This window comes from Homo sapiens, chromosome 12, assembly GCF_000001405.40.
Source record: "Homo sapiens chromosome 12, GRCh38.p14 Primary Assembly".
In the NCBI taxonomy this organism is placed as follows: domain Eukaryota; kingdom Metazoa; phylum Chordata; class Mammalia; order Primates; family Hominidae; genus Homo; species Homo sapiens.
The window spans coordinates 105,894,188-105,913,995 of NC_000012.12; the positions used below are offsets into that span (position 1 = coordinate 105,894,188).

Sequence of the window (19,808 nt, forward strand, 5' to 3'; positions counted from 1 at the left end):
GAATTTTGACAAAATATTTAACCTAAATATAGCATACACTATAATTACTACACATAATGTAATAACCAAACCAGGGCATTTTTGATCATGAAAGGTGATAGAAAAATGTTAAGCCAGATGAGAGGCAGGGATGACAGGTGTAAGTGGGGACAATCTCAGGCAACTCAGAACAAGTGGTCCCCATCTATCTAACCTCCCTGGGCCTCAATATCTTCACCTATAAAATGGAGATATTAATAGTACCTACTTTTTTTTCTGTATTTGTTTTTTTGAGATGGAGTCTCACTCTGTCACCCAGGCTGGAGTGCAGTGGTGCCATCTTGGCTCACTGCAACCTCTGTCTCCAGGGTTAAAGCGATTCTCCCACCTGAGCCTCCCGAGTAGCTGAGACTACAGGTGCATGCCACCATGCGTGGCTAATTTTGTATTTTTAGTAGAGATGGGTTTCACTACGGCAGCCAGGCTGGTCTCCAACTCCTGACCTCAAGTGATCCGCCCACCTTGGCCTCCCAAAGTGCTGGGGTTACAGGCGTGAGCCACTGCACCCAGCCAATAGTACATACTTTATAAGGTTGTTACGAGGATTGAGTTAAATATAGTATGGGAAGCTCTTGGACCAATTGCCTGAGCCTTAGTAAGTACTGCATAAATGTTAGCCACCTTATTATGATTACAGATGGGAACACTGAGGACCAGAAAAGTTAAGTGACTTGCCCAAGGACACTCAGCTGGCAAGTGACAAGTCAGCATGCCACCCCAAGGCACCAGATTTTAAACCCAGTGCTCTTCCCATGACATCTCAGTGACTTCTAGACCAGTCCAGGCACTCTCTCAGTTTAGTCTACAGCCATGTCAACTAAAGCCGAGGTAGGGAACTGGCTGCAAGGCAAGGAGCCAAGTCAGGGACCCTGGGAGGCTACACTACCCGTTCAACAACCCCAGCGTTCCTTCTACCCCAGGCCAGATGCTCTTTGTTCTCTACCCACCCCCGAACCCTACCCACAGAAGCCAGTACAAGAAGAGAAAAAGGAGCTAGTTCCCAAATTCCCTTCCAGCCCAAGTGGCTGAGCCCAGTCCTCATCTACTCCCTGCCCTCTCTCGCCCCCATTGCCCACCCCCCATCACATGACTGCTGAGGCATTTGGCTTGTTTAGATTTTGCTGCTGCACGTTGCTGATAAGATACTGTATTAGTCCGTTTTCACACTGCTGATAAAGACATACCCAAGACTGGGCAATTTACAAAAGAAAGAGGTTTATTGGACTTCCAGTTCCACATGGCTGGGGAGGCCTCACAATCATGGGGGAAGGCAAGGAGGAGCAAGTCACATCTTACGTGGATGCCAGCGGGCAAAGAGAGAGCTTGTGCAGAGAAAATTCCATTTTAAAAACCATCAGATCTCGTGAGACCCATTCATTACCACAAGAACAGCACGGGAATGACCCACCCCCATGATGCAATCATCTCCCACCAGGCCCCTCCCACAACATGTGGGAATTATGGGAGCTACAAGATGAGATTTGGGTGGGAACACAAAGCCAAACCGTACCAGGCAAAAACTAAAAGAGCTTCTAGGCATCCAACACCGTTATACGGGTCTGCTGATACATGCCTGAGCCCTCATTTATTATACAAACATGTTGGCTCTCAAGTAATTGGAGTTTGTTTGTCCCCTTCCCCCTACTGGATCACAGCCCCTGTAAGCACCATGAGAATATTAAGAAGGTCTCCATAAATGCTTAGTGACAACTGGAAGGTGTTGAACTCTTAAGGATTAAGACAAAGAACTTTGGAATCAGATCTAAATTTGAGTCTGACTCCGTCATTCGCAAGCAATATAACCTGGGGAAAGGTAAGCTGCCTCTCCCAGGTTTGACTTCTAATCTATAACAGGATGAGGGTAATAAGAACTGCCTTGCAGACTCATGATGAAGGAAAGAGTTCATACAAATTGAGCCCGTAGCATGCTACCTGATATGTAGGAAGTGTTCCAATAAATTTTAGTTGTTATTGTTATTCTCATCATTCTCACAGGGCCAGTGGAAATTGTTTCCTAACATCGAACTGACCGTCTACTTTTGTGGGCCCAGGGCCTTTCAGCCAGCATGGTGTGCCCATGCCTGGGGCCCAGGCAGGCAGTTGTCCTAGATTCATAAGAAAGAGCCAGAAGTCCACAAGTGCATAGCTATGAGAGCCTGAAGTTGCAGCAAAGGAGGAATAGCTTAAGGAACTCAAGAGCCAAGTCTCACCACCTCCAAAGCCATGATTTACATCTCAATCCTGCCTTCCATATCAGCCCTGGTACATGCAATTCTTTTGTTCTCAACAGCTCCACAACTGCCTATAAGGCTATTAATTAGATTTATTAAGGAGCAACTCAATTTGGCCCTGAACACCTGGAGCAAACACTGGTAGTACCACACCCAGACCTGTTCAGATCTGTATTGTATTGGCTGTGTACATCTATCACCCAGCATCTGTGTGCTTTACTTCTAACTGCTTTTATCTACGATCTTCTTTAGGGAAATACTCTTGGGCCACTGGGCCAATTTACTCACGTATGCGGAGAACTAGAAGTTCCAGTAGTTTAAATTTTCCCAGAGCAGCCGATTGCCAATGGCTGACTGGTGTAGGGGCAGGGAAGCTCAGCTCCCTTGCCTCGAGGTGAACAAACTCTTGAGATATAATTCACACTCCAGAGTTCCCTGTAGGACCAGGTTGAGCCTGGAACTTTGCCTGAAATTGCAGACTTGTTCAACTTCTTCCCCTTCCCTGATGTCCTTTCCTTTCTCCTCTACTGTTTCTCCTGAGAGCACACCCTTAATAAATTACTGTGCACAGATTTTCATCTCAAGGCCTGCTTTTGGAGACCTGTCCTAAGACAGCACCAGCTCAACGATTACTTCATGCACTTCTGCATCTCTTAGCAGCACAGCACCCTCACCTTGTGACCGCCCGAGGGGCTCTTCCTACCCACTGCATAAACTTCATGGCATCGTAGCAGAGAAATAGCTTAATAGACAAGAGGCTGGCCATGCCACATGGGAGATGGAGTTCCTACACAAATCATCTCCTTCAAAGCTCACAGGTTAGGGGTTTTTCAAGGGCAGTTTGGGGAAAGGGGTGGGGGTGGCCAAGTAACAAGTGCTTGCTGATTGGTTGGGGCAGAGATGAAATCATAGGGGGTTGAAGCGGTCCTCCTGCAGTCTGATTCACTTCTGGGTGGGGCCACAGGAGCCTGATTGTCAGTCCAGGTGGAGCCATGAGTGTCAGACATGCAAAAAACCTGGAAAGATATCTCAAAGGCCAATCTACAATAGTGGTGTCATTTGCAGGAGTCATTGTGGAAGTGCATATTTTATAACCTCTGGAATAATGTCTGCACCTTAGCAGGACTCAGGGTCTTCTCCTCCCCTCAACCTGATGGCCTCCTATTAGCTTTACAAAAGCAAATGAGTTAGGGCAAGGCCTATTGTCATTTAAACTGTAGCCTAAATGTCTCCCAAAGTTAGCTTGGTCCAATAGCTCAGGAACAATTAAGGGAAAGGCAAGATGGGGGTTGGGTTAGCTTCGTTTGCTGGTACAACTTTTGCAAAGGTGGTTTCAACCTCTCCTTCCCCTGTTAATCTCAAACAGGCAATTATTCTTGATCTCCTCTTCTGTTCCTGACTTGCTCCAGCTCCACTCTTACTTTCTTCTGATTCTCTACCTTTGTACTTGTCTCTTCATGATTAGAAAAAGAGTGATGATCACATATGTACCAATCAAAAAGCCAGAATCCAAACCAGGTTTGGATTAGAAGTTCACACTCTTAACCAGTAGGATGCCTATCCCTTAAGTCTTGACTTTGTAGCTGACGTCTGGGCTCATGATTCTAGAATCTCTCTCGAAGACTTTAACTTGGATTCACCCCATGGAACTTCCTCAGTTGAAACTCTATTAAGTCTTCTAATTTCTACCTTCTGTTATAAATAAAGTTTCGGTGCTGCAAAAGAAATAGCACTCGAATATAAAATTTTCTTTTTAATTCTCAGCAAGGCAAGTTACTTCTATAGAAGGGTGCGTGCTTACAGATGGAGCAATGGTGAGCGCACAGTTGGACAAGGGAGGGGAAGGGGTTCTTATCCCTGATGCACGTGGCCCCTGCTGCTGTGTCGTTCCCCTATTGGCTAGAGTTAGACCGCACAGGCTAAACTAATTCTGATTGGTTAATTTAAAGACAGTGACAGGGCGAGTGGTTTGGTGGGAAAAATGGTTATGCAGGGTGGAGAATGAGTCAGGGCAGAGCAGGTAGCAGGTAATTAGAATGAGTCAGGGTGCAGCAGGTAATCCAAAACGTTTGCTTTATGAGGAAGTTAAGTTTAAAAGTAGAAGGCAAAGAATTGAACATAGTGACATATTGAATCTTTGAAAAGAAATTTAGAACTTATATCTAACACTTCTGACCCTTTGGAAACTAATGCATGGCCCTGTCTGTCCCATCCAATGTACCAAAATAGAATATGTGGTATCTTTGAACTTCATTCATTCATGCACAGTCTGGAAGGTATATATTGTATGCATTGTCTATATTGCATGCATTCTCTATACTGGGCTCTGTTGGAAATTCTGGGGATACGTGATTGTTGGATTGGGCAAGAAAGGGAGGGACACTAAGGCCTCTTACTCTCTTTTCTTTATTAATAATTTTTCTTAATGCCTTTCCCCAAGTTCCACCAAAAGTTAAAAACAGTGTAACATAAAAACAATGGGCTTTGGAGGGTGGAAAAAACCTGAGCTTAAAAATGCTCTAAGCAAAATATAGCTGTGTGAGATGGAATAGATCTATGTCAGATGGCTCCACAACAGTGGTTCTGAACCTGGATGCATGTGGGAGATATTTGACAATGTCTAGAGACATGTTTTGGTTGTCACAACTGGGGGATGTGGCTCTGATCTAGTGAGTAGAGGCCAGAGATGCTGCCAAACATCCTACATTGCACAGGACAGCCCCCCATTGCACAGAACTATTTGGCCCAAAATTTCAATAATGCTGAGGTTGAGAAACTGTGCCTTATAATAATAATTCCAAACTCACAAGGCCGATGTAGAAAAAAAAAAAGGAGGCAAGTTTGAAAACCCTTAGAACAACCCACTCCCACTAAGCCTGCATCTCCTTTTCCTTTCCTCCCCTATAGTACAAGATACCAACACATTCTCAGATCTGGGATCTTTGCTGGGAAACACGAGGCCTGGTTTAACTCTCCTCCACCCTCCCAAAGGAATTGTCTAAATTCACAAAGCAACTTTCCTCACTTCAAAGGAAATATTCTGTTCTCTTTGCGGTGACAGAGATTAAATAGGTGCTTATCATTCTAACATATGTTGGGAGTCTGAGGCCTTTTTTCTTGTTTTAAGAAGATGGAAGCCACAAAAAGATCATATAGCAAGCATAATGGCAACCAGATTTCATCCTGTGCATTACTGTAAAAACCAAGCAGCAGGCATTTGCTTACATGTAAAGCACCCACAGGATTGAGCCCAGGTATGCTGGACTTAAGGGCCTCTGCGACTGATTTTACTTTATGTATTCCTGAAGCTGGTGCATTCTTAGCAAATTTCACTTCCTGTTTCACAATTAGTCCGAACCTGCCTGGAAACGACGGCATGGAACCAGCCATTCTTGATTAGAATCTTGGTTCAGCCACTCACTCCTGTGCTATTCACTGGAGTAGCCACAAATGGCTATTTAAACTTAAATGAATTAAAATGTTTTTAAAATTAAAATTCTAACTCCTCAATCACACTAATCACGTCTCAAGTGCTCAGTAGCCATGTGGCTAGGGACTACCATATTGGACAAGGTAAATATAGAATATTCCTGTCATTGCAGAAAGTTCTGTTGGATAGCATTGCACAAATTATTTTGGGCTAAACAATTTCTTTGAATACTAGTTTCTTCAATGTTAAATGGGGACCATATTTCTTGACTTGTTTCTTTCCTAGAACTATTGGGAAGGTGAACCAAAGTGGTGCTTTGTAAAAATTATAAAATAGTGTGCACACGTAAGGATTGTGAAAAGAGCCTTAAATTGTTTCCTTTACCAAAGATGATCAACTTTGCTTTATTGCCAAGAAACACAGGGATCTGTCTTTCTAGACCTTTTCTTTCTGGATTGATTAATTACTGCTCAGGGTAAATAATTTTAAGAGGAAGTTTTATAGATACCCACTCTCTCTTCATAACTAAAATCTCTGCTGTGTACATAGTAAATCCAGTGGTCCATTAAAAGATATTCGCAGGTCACGAATTTTCCCTTTGCCCACTTAGGAGCTTCTCACTATTATTTTGCATTTTTTCCTTCTAAAATATCAGCCCGGCTCCTCTATCCCTAATGGGGCATTAGAGAAAAAATCTGTGTGCTTGAGAGAGTCTTTGAGTTTTTCTTAGTTGGGGTCAACAAAGTCTTCCAAATCAAATAGAAGGAATGGTTCCCATTAAGCCCCAAGTAGTCTTTGGTGTTTGCTCTGCTGTCAGCTTGGACACACTCCACCAAAGGAGCAAATCTCTGTTTTTACTTAGGCTTGTGCTGATCTGTTGTTAAGTCGTAACTCGATGAAAGCATTATAAGGCAATAAGAGGATGCATGTCAGGAAATTGGCTGAATTATATCTAAGAGGGCTCAAAGCATGCCAGTGGGGCAGCTCAGGAGATCCAGAAGGTGACATTGGAGACTGGAAGACTGAGCCTTTCCCAGGCCTCTCAGAGGCCCTTGTGTGTTTCCAATGGGAAAAACAAGCTTTGGCATTTACATGACACTCTTCCTGCTCTTCAGTGCAAAGAGCAGGAAGAGTGTCAATTCTATCAACATTCACTGCTGAGCCATGCCATGAATGACTCTTTATGCAAGGAGACACTACAGACCAGAAGATGCAGTCCTGCGACTGGGCAGGCCAAGAGGAAAGCTTTGGTGTTGCCTTGTCATCCGTCTCCAAATCAGGACTATTACTATGAACAAAGCAGAAAAAAATCCTGCCCTCTTGGAACTTATATTCTAGTGAGGAGGGGAACAGAGGAGGGGACAGGGGACTCTCCTCTCCATCTCTAACATTCCTTTCACATTTCCTATATTTTATTTTGTATTGTTTACATTGTTTATGATAAAAAAATAAAATATAGGAAATGTGAAAGGAATTCTAGAAATGGAGAGGAGAGTCGATTCACAAGGAACAGTCAGGAAAAGCTTCACAAAGTGACATTTCAGCAGGAACCCCAAAGAAATGAGGATGCAAGCCCTGAAGGAGTGCTCATCATGCAGAGGAACTTGGCAAGTGCAAAGGCCCTGGGACAGAGGTAAGGCTGGCCTCTTTGAGAAAGAGCAGCTGATGACAGTAGTTGAGGCAGAGTGAATGAGGAGAAAAATAGAGGGAGATAAGGTCACAGAGGTGGTATGGGACCAGATACTGCAAGGCTTCCTTCACTATTCTACTCTGTAAGACATGGGAACTCTTTGGAGGGTTTTGAGCAGAGTAGTAACAATCTGACTGAAGTTATTAAAGAATCTCTCTGAACACTCTGTTGAGAGGAGACTAGGTGAGAGGAAGGGAAGGCAATGATGGAGGCAGGTTATGATTAATATAGTCTGGCTGTGTCCCCACCCACATTTCATCTTGAATTATAGTTCCCATAGTTCCCAAGTGTTGTGGGAGGGACCAGGTGGAGATAACTGAATCATGGGGGCGGTTCCCCCTATCCTATTCTAGTGATAGTGGGTTAGTTCTCATGAGATCTGATGGTTTTATAAGGGGCTTCTCTCTTCACTGGGCACTCATTCTTCTCCCTCCTGCTGCCACGTGGAGAAGGACATGTTTGCTTCCTCTTGTGCCCTGAATGCAAGTTTCCTGAGGCCTCCCCAGCCATGCTGAACTGTGAGTCAATTAAATCTCTTTCCTTTGTAAATTACCCAGTCTCAGGTATGTCTTTATTAGCAGCCTGAGAACGATGAATACAATAATCAACCAACCTCATGGGCTTTTCCCTGGCCTCCACTCTCCATCAGCACTTACATACACCTTGTCTCTGGAGCCTGTGAACACTCATGCCAAACCTGTGCTCTCCCTGCTAGGGCTGTCTCATAGACCGCAATGAACTGCACCATCTGATTCATTCTGTGCATCCATTTCCACTCACAACCTCATACAATTCAAACTCATGGTTGTTCAACAGAACATGAACAATTACCTAGCTCAACCACTCATTTTTTAAAAATTTTGAAATGGATCGTATATGCAGAACAGTTTAAATTATAATCATAGAGTAAGTACTCATGTACCATTAACCAAGTTCGTAACAAGAACATTACCAGTCCCTTAGATACCACATGTGTCCCTTCCCAATCACATGCCCCTCCCATCAGTCCTTCATCCCCACCCAGAAGTAGCTTTCATCCCACCTGCTGTGTTCATCCTTGTCCAGCTTTTCTTTATGGGGTCTCCCTCCTATGCATGAAGAAACAAATAATGTTTAGTTTTGGAAAATGGGTAGCAGCAGAAAGCGACATGTTTTCCTGCTAGATAGAGGCCCATGGGGGAAGAACATGCTGAGCCTCTAGGCCATGACCTAACTTTAGGTTCCATGAGAGTATCCAGGAGTCCTTTCTGGGGAAACCACAAGGCAAGGTCACAAATGAGGCCTCAGAGATGTGGAGTTCACTTCAGAAATCCTGCAGCTTGTCTGGCAAGGCTGTAGTGTGGGCTAAGAACTAGACGTATGGAGAGAATCCTGTCCAGGAGAGTGGGCTGCTTCTGAATCTATGTGGCCTGAGTCTGCTCTCAAGATTAGGTCAAAGCAGGACATTTCTGTGGGTGAAGTAAGTGTCCTCAGCTTACCTAGGCAGCAGCGCATGGAGGAGAGAGCAGGAACTTTCTCAGCCTCTGGTCAAGACAAACCAGGTATCATTCAGAATCCAGACCAGGCTTTCCTGGACACCCCGTCCTCAAGTTAGCTAGGAACTTAGTATGGACAGCCCATGGTGGTGCCTCTGTCTCTACTCAGATCTGCGGTTGCCTTCCATGTGTGGACACAGCTTCACTATCCTCCCAACACACCCATCACCCTCTCCTCTCTCAGCTCTGCCACGTGCTGCAGCCTGTGTCTTCCTCATTCGTGGCTGATTCTTTCATTTTCTTGAAGTACATCCTCCAGTGGATTCTTGAGACAATTTTAAGAAGTCAAATATCTGAAAATGCTATTATTCTACCCTCAATTATGATTAATAATTTGGCTAGGTATATAATTGTTAGTTGGATATTACTGACCTATAGAATTTTTGGAGATGCTGCTGTTGAAAAATCTGAAGCTATTCTGATAGCTGAACCTTTGTATGTAACCTGTTTCTTTTTTCTCTTTTCAGAAACTCATAGACTCTTTTCTTATCACAAATACTCAGAAATTTTATGACAGTCTTTATTGTGGATCCTTTTTTCCATCCACTGTGCATAAGGAGACAACTCCCTTTTGATCAGTCAACCCTGTCCTTCAGTCCTGGAAAATCTTCTTCAATTATTTCATAGATTGTTTCCCACCCTTCCCCTTGGCCTTCTCTGATCTTTTTTTCTGGATGTCCTTTTGGACCAGTCTTCTAATATTGTTATAATTCTTTCCTATTTTATTTGTGTTTTTGCTCAACTTTTGGTAACATTTCTTCAAATGTATCTTCCAAACTTATTGAGATTTTTGTTTCTGTCCTCATGTTTTTAATTACCGAAACTTGTTTTCCTCTCCATTTATTTTAGAGCATCCTTTTCTCATTTCATTCATGTACTATCTTATCTGTCTTAAGAGCATTAATGAAAGATGTTTCCACAATTCTCTCCTTTGTGCCTCTTCTTCCTCTAAGTTGCATTCCTTCTGTTTGTTTGTTGTGGTCTCTGTATTTCATATCAGAACCTTTCCTAATGTCTGATAATCCTTGTTGCTTGTATGAATAAAAGTGAGGAATGAGGAAACTCACTGGAAGCTCTCAACCAAGCAATGCAGCCCGTTAGCATTGACTTGATCAGACCATGTGTTAGAAAACTCCCATTATCAGAATCTTTGAATCTGTCTTCTTGGCTGGAGATTAGAGTCCCTAGAGAAGCCTCTTCCCACTTCAGGCTTGGAACACAGAGATCCTGACAGCATTCTGTGGTCAAAGTAGGGGAAGAGGGCTGGAGGTTTTAGTGTATAGCATGCATTATGCACACAGTCACTTAAGTCCCTTGTTTTTGATATGGTATCTATACTTTATGCCTGGCATCCCTTAGTTCAATGACCCACAGTTTTTCCCCTCCATAAAATAAGCCTTCGGACTTGCCAGCTATATTTCCATATAAGGCAAGTAATTTTAGCTGCAATGAAACAAATTCCCAGATCCCAATGGCTTAACAAAACATACTTTTCACTACTGCAAAGCCTAATGTAGATATTCCTACTTAGCAGACAGCTTCCCATGTGGTCATTCAGGGATCTAGTTTCCTTCCATCTTGTGGCTCCACCAGGACTCAGAAATTGCTCTATTAAACTCCAAAACTCCATATGGAGAAAAAGGATTACTCATGTAAGGTTTCTATGGGCCAAGCCTGAAAGTGGCACATATCCTTGTTGCCTTGTAGACTCAGAATTCAGTCACATGGCCATTCCTAACTGCAAAGAAGACAGGGAAATGTCTCGAGCTGTGTCCCCAGAACAAAAAGGAAATGGGTTCTAGTGAACACAGAAATCACCACTCTAAGGACCCTGCCATATTGCTCTACCCCCATGGGTCTCAATTTTTTAACCTATAAAATGGTAAAATCGAAACAATACTGGCTGTCTCACAAAATTTTGGTGGGGATTATATTTGTAAAATGCTTACCAGGCACACAATAAACCCTCAAGGAATAATTGTTGGTATTGTTGTTGTTTTTAATCTTTCATTAGTTTATTTTATTAAAACTTGGTATCCACTGAAACATCAAATCTTTCATTGTTTAAGGAAGGAATTTAAAAAGCATGCACAGAATAATAAGGATAAAGAAGAGGAAGAAACTTATATACTGAATATCACATTCACTTCATTTATAAAACAAATATTTTCTGAATATCTACTGTATACTAGGCAATGTATTAGAAGTCCAGAGATATTAAAATAAATAAGATCCCTGCACTTGAGATTACCACAGTCTGGCTGAGAATCACAACACTAAACATTGTCACTCCTTTGGAAACTTTAGGCCAGTTTCCAAAGGAAAGCTGGGAGTTATCCCAGAGGATAAAATGATCTGAAATGAATTTCCATTTTAGTGGTCAAAACTCAGATTCATCAAGGTTATCAAGTCACCTCCACATTGCTGAAACCAGTAGTTAATTCTGGGTTTTTATCCTACTTGACTTATATCTGATCATGATCTCATTCTTGAAACAGTGTCTTGACATGGCTTCCAGAACAACACACATCCTTGGTTTTGCTTTTACTTCGCTGGTTGCTACCACTTAGTCTCTTATATTGCTTCTTGTTCATTCCCCATTCCTGTTAATGTTGAAGTGCATCAGGGCCCCATCATTGTTCCTTTTCTCTTCTCTATGTACTCCTCCCTTAATGGTTTCATCCAGGGCAATAGCTCTCAATACCATCTATGAACCGAAGACTCCCAAAATTATATATCCTACTCATGCTTCTCCTTAACTCCAGATTCATATGTCCAATTGCCTACTCAACTTTGGCATTCAAATACCTATTTGCTGAACTCCTGATCCTCTAACTTTTAACTCTTCTTTTTCATACCTCATTCAACCTATCAGTTAATCATGTTGGCTCCACTTTCAAAATATATCCAGAACCCAAGTACTTCTTACCATATTTACTACCATTGCCCTATCCAACTCAGCATCATATCTCACCTAGATTGACCCACCGGCCTCCTAATCTCTTCCTGCTTTTTACCATAGCACTTATCACCGTGTGTCATAATCATAAGAGCGCGCGCACACACACACACATAATCTCTATAACTAGAATGTAAGTTGCAAGATGATTGTATGCTATGTTCCCTGTTGTGTCCCCACTAGCTAGAACAGTGTCTAGCACTTAGTAGGTATTGAGAAAGGCTGTCTTGTGCATGCAGCCTTTCATCCCCCACTAAACCATGCAAGAATGGGCCTGAGACCTGTAACATTCTCTTACCAAGAGTTCCAGAGTCCTTACAGCCTGTGCTGAACTTATCACCTTGTGTGAAAATATCTTTCCTTGGTTAAAACTCAATGCGCACTCCTTTGTTCTGCTTAAATGTGTGTGCCATATGACACCTGCTCAACCCCACTGCTACATCTGTCCTCTGTAGGGAGAAGAGACAGTCTTTCTGCTGCAGCACAAAAAAAGGTGCCTGTGTGCCTGTAGGCCAACTGCCCTGCAGCAGTGGCTAGGAGGGACCCACTGGCCATGGAGAACCAATGCCCACTATTGAGGCTGATCATGTTCTGTCTCTTATCTGTGCAAGTAAAATGTTGTTCCTCGCAGTGCTTATCTGCATTGTTTTCCTTGGCAACTCAGATACCAAGATGCAGTGAACAGAAATTCTTGAAATTCTGCTTCTGATAATAGGCAACAGATGCCTCTTGCTCAACAGTAGGTGTTCATTATTTGAATGAATGAAGAAAGGAAGGTGGGCACTATCTGCAATATACATGATGCAATTTAGAAGAGTGCTTCCATCCCAAGAGAAATCAAAGAGCAGGTTTAATAAGATGTGAGCATTTTTGTAGCCTTCATTTCTTTTGGAGGATGGTCATACTTGCTGGAGCAGGAGCTGGGGCCGGACCCAAGCAGGAGGAAGAGATCTCAGGAGAAGAAGCTCTCTGTGCTCAGTAGCAAAGGTACAGTCTGCTGCTTTTAGGAAAGCACACGTCAGCACAATGATTCCTCCTTCTTATTTCTTCTCCAAAAGAAAGTTAGCAGCCATCCCTTCTAGAAATCCCTGACACTTCATTTGTTGAATGTAGCAGATTTTATGATTCTTGCTACAGACAATGCTGTTACTTCCCTTAATATTAACAGCACCCTATTAGAGTAAATAATTCATCCAGATTTGACTGGGACTGTCATAGTTTGAAATTGAGAGTTTCAAACTTCTACATCCAATAAACCCCCTCAGTCCTGGGCAAACCAAGATGGTTGGTCACCCTATACCTAGCACAGCACCTGTCACCTTAAATAAATGTTGGGTGCAGCTAATTGTGTTACAGTTATTTGTTTACATCCCTATTTTCACTCTAGTGCCTGCAATATGGCATGTTTTGTAAAATGTGTTTCAGGGAACCCTAGTTCCATATGATATCAATAAAGGTTATTGTTTATTGTAGGTGCTGTTTGATGCCCCACCCGGAAATCCTTTCCTGGGCCAGTGCATTATCCCGGAGCTGCTTATACTGGTGGCTACTAACAACTTACAGCTATACTCTTTTCAAAAAGCCTTGTCCTTAGCTTACAGGAGTCTGATTTCTCAAGGATTTCAGAGAAATTTTGTCCCCCTTCCTAAAGGGCCACTTAGAGCCAATAAGTGTCTTATGTTTACCTAAAGCTCACCCCACCTTCTTCCAGATGGGAAAACTGTAGCATCATTTACTCCCTAGGACTCTCCATGGCATTCAGTTGAGGCTAAACTTCAGCCAAACCCATCAAAAACTCTATTGCATACAGGAGGCAATGGCATGTCTCCATTTAATTCATCAGTCTGGCTCTTGGAAAAACTGAATAAATTATGATATATAAGATTAGACTACCATGAACTTAACCAAGTAATAGTCCCAGTCACGGCTGCTGTGCCAGATGTGGTATCCTTGCTACATCAAATTAATATAATCTCTGGCATGGTTTATGACTACTGAGCTAGCAAATGCATGCTTTTCCACACTCATCAAGGAGATTCTAAAGTGGTTCTTATTTACATGGAATACTTCCATGTCCTTAATAGTGTACTTCCATGGCCTGCCTCCAGAGATTATTAATCTTCTAAATGCTGTCACAATATACTGTGAACCATCTGGACTTCTGCAGAATTCATTTTGGTTCATTGTATTGATAACATCATGTTAATTGTACGTAATGGACAAGAAATGGCAAGTGCTCTGAGTGCCTTAGTAAGATGCATGCAGTCCAAAAAATAAGAAATAAAACCTATGATACATTATTAATGTTTTTAGGAATCCAGTGTTTTGAAGCATACTGTGACATCCTCTCAAAGTAAAAGACAATTTCTTGTACCTTGTACTATCTACCACTAAGGAAAAATCACAGCACTTGATTCGTTTCTTTGGGTTTTAAAGGCAGCATAGTCCATTCTTGTGAATATTACTCTGACATTTTATTGGATGATGTGCCTCAAGAAAGGTCTCTGCAGCAGATTCAGGCTTTAATACAAACAGGCTTGATGATTTGGCCATATGATCAGTAAATTCCCTGACACTAAAAGTATCTTGGTAGATAAAGAGGTCATAAAGAGTCTCCAGCAAGGCCCAATAGAAAAAATACAGTACAAATTGCCGAGTTCTGGAGCAAGGTTATGCAGCAGAGCACTCTACACCACTCAAAAGTAGTTCCTGGCACAATACTGGGCCCCAATAAAGACTGAGCTTTGGACCCTCAGATATCAAGTGACCTTGTGGTCAAAATTACTTGTTATGAGCATGGTGCTGTCAAATCTACCAATTCATAAGGTCAAGGAGACCCAGGCACTATCCATCATTAAGATGGAAGTGGTACATTTAATACTGGACTAAAGCAAGTCCAGAGGGCAGAAGTAAACTGCAAAACAGGTATTCCAGCCATTGTGGCCCTGGTGCTTCCCCCTTAGCTCACACTTCTGGCCTCATGGAAGTTCTCTATAAACCATCTAATACAAGATGTTAAAAAAAAAAACCCAAGCTGGGTTTATGAAGATCAGCTCAGTATATTGATGCAATAACAAATTTCTACTCCTGCACTACAGCCCCAATCAGGGATGACCCTGAAAGGCAATGGTGTGAGGTGAATTCATTTATTTTGTCATTCATTTTGTGTTTAGAGAGAAGTGGCCCCAAATTAGTATATACACTCACTCATGCACAGTAGCAAATGTCCTAGCTATGGGGTCAGGTGCCTGGAAACAGAAAGACTGTAAGGCTGGGGACAAGGAAGTCTACAGAAGGTATATTAGGATGTACCTATGGGAGTGGGCACAAACTGTGAGGGTCTTTGTATCACAACATGTATCAGAGAACTTCCACCATTAAAGGGGCTCTAACAAACAAGCGGACAGAATGACTCAGCTAGTAGATGTCAGCCAGCCTCTGTCCTCAGACACTGCACAGGTAGGCACATGTTAAGAGTAATCTTAGGGGCAGAGATGAAGTCTATGCAAGGGTTCAACAGCATAGGTTGAACAAAGGTTCATAGGGTTCTCATAAAGGTTGATCTAGCTATTACCATGCTGAATGTCCAAGTTGCCAGCAAAAGAGTATAGGAGGACAGGTCACTGATGGCATGGCCAATCAGCTCTCCCCTCTCCCACCTGTAATTCTCAAGATAACCTGTAGAATGTACTGTGAATGCAATGTCCTGGAATATGGAGGAACTGCCTGGAACAGCCAAGGCTATATACTCATTCCTCCTTGAATAGGATGTTCTGCGACACTTGTGCTCAGTAGTCCCAAGGGCACCCAGGGTATAAAACCCATAGCAGAATGCTTTCAGGATCCCTCAGTTGTGATACAACATGGGGTATATGCAGCTCAGACTCCATCACCCTGGGAAGCTCTTCTGTTCCTTGCTGGACCAGCTCATGGTGTCTCCTAGGCTTCTGTTTATCCTTGCTGCCCATCTTGGAGTCATAAATCTGCTTTCGCCTGACTTGTGTGTGTGTTCTGTCTCATCACATTCATGCACATGGTAGAGAACCTTTGCACAGAGATCAACACTAAGACTTAGACATATCACCATCCTTGGAGGAAATCAACCAGCTACTTAGTGGTAAGATGATTACATCATAATTCATCTACCAAAAGTGCAACCATTCATCCTGACTGGGATTGACACATATTCTAGGTATGGGTTTGCCTTGCCCGCCAGCAAAGCCAGCTAAAAAAACAAACAACAGTGATGTTCGACAACATTACTATGCAAGGACTCAAAGATTATCTAATATAACTGACATGGGATCCCATTTTAACATTGCTTCAGACCAAAGGTCTTTTTCACAGCAAAAGAGGTGTGATAGTGGGCATATAGCCATGGGATCCACTGATTCTACCATGTACCACACATTGCAAAAATTGCTGGCCTTGTAAAGCCGTGAAACAAACTCTTAAAGACAAAGTTGAAAATACGATGGCCAGGCACAGTGGCTCATGTCTGTAATCCCAGCACTTTGGGAGGCCGAGGCGGGCAGATCACCAGAGGTCAGGAGTTCAAGACCAGCCTGACCAACACGGAGAAACCCCGTCTCTCCTAAAAATACAAAATTAGTCGGGCATGGTGGTGCATGCCTGTAGTCCCAGCTACTCGGGAGGCTGAGGCAGGAGAATTGCTTGAACCCGGGAGGCGGAGGTTGCGGTGAGCCAAGATAGCACCATTGCACTCCAGCCTGGACAACAAGAGCAAAACTCCGTCTCAAAAGAAGAAAAGAAAATACAAAGCTCTACCCTTCAGCTGGTATGCAACTTAGACCAACGGCCATTATATTGTACAGTGTCCTTGGTAGTTAAATACGTAGGTCCTAGAAATATGAGGCAGAATAAGAGTGGCTCCCTTTACAATCACTTGCAGTAACCAGCCTGGGAATTTGTGCTTCCCATTCCTTCTACTCTAGGCTCTACAGACCTAGAGGTTCTAGTTCCCCTGGGGGACACAGTAAAACTTTCATTAAACTTAAATCTATGGCTACTGCCTGGGAACTTTAGGATCTTCATGTCACTAGACCAGCAGGCCTAGAAAGTAGTTGCCATACTAGCAGAAGTAAGTGATTCTGATCATAATGAGAAGACAAGGTTGCTCACAGAATGGAAGTAGGGAGGAATATGTTTTGTGCTCAGATGATCCACTGGGTGAGTCCTTTGCTACTCCCATGTTCAGTTTTAACTGTTAACAGTAAAGAAATCTTGCCCTGATAAAAGCAAGTTAATCATACACTGAGACGGCTCAGAGATGAGGGCTTGGTCATCCCAATAAGCAACCCATCTAAACTAACAAAGTGACAATGGAAGAGGAGAGAAGTTTATATTGGGTGGTAGAGGAAGGAGTTTATGAGTATTAATTATCACTTTCTTTTCTATTATCCCTCTTGTTAATATTCCCAAAACTGTGACCAAACAGAATACTGGAGAAGCTGTGCTTGGATAAAGTCATGCAGAAATCATGAAGATTTGAACAGTGCAGGGATGTATTATGGTATACACCGTCAGTACCCTGCCCAGACCCCTTTTATCAGCCTAGCACACCCATCTTCCAGCTGCAGTAAGTGTTGGCTGCTAAGAACTCACACCTGTGTCCTTCTCCAGAGAATTTTCCATAAATAAAAGAAGCCACCTCACCTCTCACCCTCTGAGAGGTGGCTTAAAGCCAAAAACTGATCAATGTGGGCATGTGGAAGCCCAAATCCCTTGCCTCAAGAAAGGACAACATTTTGATGCCATTCATACTCCAGCTCCCCATGTGACCAGGCTGAGGCTAGATTTCAGGTGAAACCACATGAAACCACATATTTGCTTTTATCTTTTATCCTGTCCTATCGTTTTCCCTTCTCCTTTATAGGTTTCTCTTGGGAGCTGTCCCTCGTAAGTCACCTGATCAGGAATCCCTATTTTAGTCTCTGCTTCTAGGAAATCTGACCTAAAACTCTTGGAAAAAAAGTTCTGTTCCCAACTATGCATTCCCTCCAGTAAGAGTATTAAACCTTCTTACTCATATTCATGTGACTCGGCCATGTATCATTTGGGAGGAGTATTTATCCTCACCTCGTTAACTCTGGGCTTGGCCAGGTGACATGCTTTGGCCAATGGATCTGAACAAATGTGTCATTTGCAACATCTGAGCAAAAGCTTTAAATGGGAGTGTGAGGTTTAGCTCAAGCTCTCTCATATTCCTAGCATCTGACATGAGCACAGCATATTCCAGTTACGGACTTTTCCTTCAGCCTGGACTCAGAATGAGAAGACCCCCCAGAACACAGCAGACTACAGCTGAGCCAAGGAGAACCTTGCACAATCCACCCCTGACAAACAGACCTACGAATAAGAAAAAATATATATATTTAGTGTTCTAAACTAAGATTTTGGAGGGTTATTTGTTACTGTAGCAAAAAGCTGACTAATACACATGGTCAAAGTTTGGGGAATGCTTTAAAGAAATATAAAGGTATTTCTTTACTGTGAGATTACTCAAATCCTACAATAGGCTCAGGTGTGTTGTGACCCTGTAAGACAGGTGTCCCAAACTCATTTGGAAAATCCTCATGGGAATGGTATTTGATAGCATAGCAATGCTACATAGTTTGTTGTCCAAAGGCTTTCTGGAGTGAATGCACATATGAATGTATGAATGATTCCTTAGTACAACTTCATATAATCATTGGACATATCCAGTGGCCCAAAGACTAATTCTGATGCCTACAACCTGGGGGGAAAATGAGGAAAATATTGATCTAGTAATGAAAGAACAAATTTGCTAATGGACCAGCCAAACCACAAACTCAAACAGCCCAGGAGCAGTCAGCACTTAATATGTCAGCAGCTCATTCACCCTTCCTCCACTCCAACACAGCTTACAAAGGCAGGACATCAAGAAAAATGACTTTGGGGAAACTCATGGAACAATGTATAAAGAAGGGAAGAAAGTCAATAATGAAATTGGTCCAATTTAAACAGCCTGGGCCAAGACCACGAGGTAAAAAACTTATTTCAAGTTACTTTCAACACTGCAAATAAGTCCCTATGATTTGTTTAGCATTCCAGAAGATAAAGAGCAATAAACAAATGCTTCAAGTGCAATACATTATTGTCAGAGTTATGTGCTTCAGTGATTCAAAGCTGGGCACAATACAATTCAACAGCACACAATAAGCTTTGTTCCTTCCATCCAACTACCGACATGCTTCTACCGTTGCATCAACAGAAAGGCTCCAGCCGTCGTAGTAGGTAATTTCTCTTCAGTCAATAGGCAAATTATAAGGGAAATAAATCCAACATTAGCATTAGTTCCAAAGGAAAGACATCTATTTTTCAATAGCCTATGTTTGCTGCCTCGGGCTTGTGTTGTCCAGACTCTTCAGAAACAATCTCTACTGTGTTTCCTTGAAGACATCTCTTTCAATACGCTTCCAAACCTTGATTGTAGGACACCCTGACTCACACTTGGCAATGCCAGTTGCTCACTCTCCAGTCCCACTGTTACCCGAATGCAGACTTTTCATCTCATGCTCAGACTTCTGCAATAGACTCTTAATTAGGCGCCCAACCTAACTCATTTGTCACTTAACATTCCTCTTTATACCTCTCTTGGCATTTTGGTTGTTACTGAAGACACATGTGAGAGGACCCATGATGTAGTGAGAATATTATCAACTTTGGAGTCAGACAGACCTCAGTTCTAATCTCAGGATGCCATTTCCAGCTGAGTCTTCTTGGGAAAGTGACTTGGTCTCCATGGGCCTTTGCTATCTCATCTGAAAATGAGACTAAGCCACAATCCAATAGGAATTTGTGTGCCTCCTGTGAGAATGTATGTAGGGTGCCTGGAACCACATAATGTGTAGACACTCTATAACTGGCAGCTGTTTAATAT

The 19,808-nt window shown here is 42.6% G+C and overlaps 3 annotated features.

The window, feature by feature from the left end:
- Positions 1,639–2,385: an enhancer, noted in NCBI's record as "H3K27ac hESC enhancer chr12:106289604-106290350 (GRCh37/hg19 assembly coordinates)". NCBI's record gives its function as "activates a minimal SCP1, AML or CMV promoter by ChIP-STARR-seq in primed H9 embryonic stem cells {active_cell/tissue: H9 hESC(primed)}" and the evidence as "EXISTENCE:reporter gene assay evidence [ECO:0000049][PMID:30033119]".
- Positions 2,386–3,132: an enhancer, noted in NCBI's record as "NANOG-H3K27ac hESC enhancer chr12:106290351-106291097 (GRCh37/hg19 assembly coordinates)". NCBI's record gives its function as "activates a minimal SCP1, AML or CMV promoter by ChIP-STARR-seq in primed H9 embryonic stem cells {active_cell/tissue: H9 hESC(primed)}" and the evidence as "EXISTENCE:reporter gene assay evidence [ECO:0000049][PMID:30033119]".
- Positions 3,133–3,879: an enhancer, noted in NCBI's record as "OCT4-NANOG-H3K27ac hESC enhancer chr12:106291098-106291844 (GRCh37/hg19 assembly coordinates)". NCBI's record gives its function as "activates a minimal SCP1, AML or CMV promoter by ChIP-STARR-seq in naive and primed H9 embryonic stem cells {active_cell/tissue: H9 hESC(naive and primed)}" and the evidence as "EXISTENCE:reporter gene assay evidence [ECO:0000049][PMID:30033119]".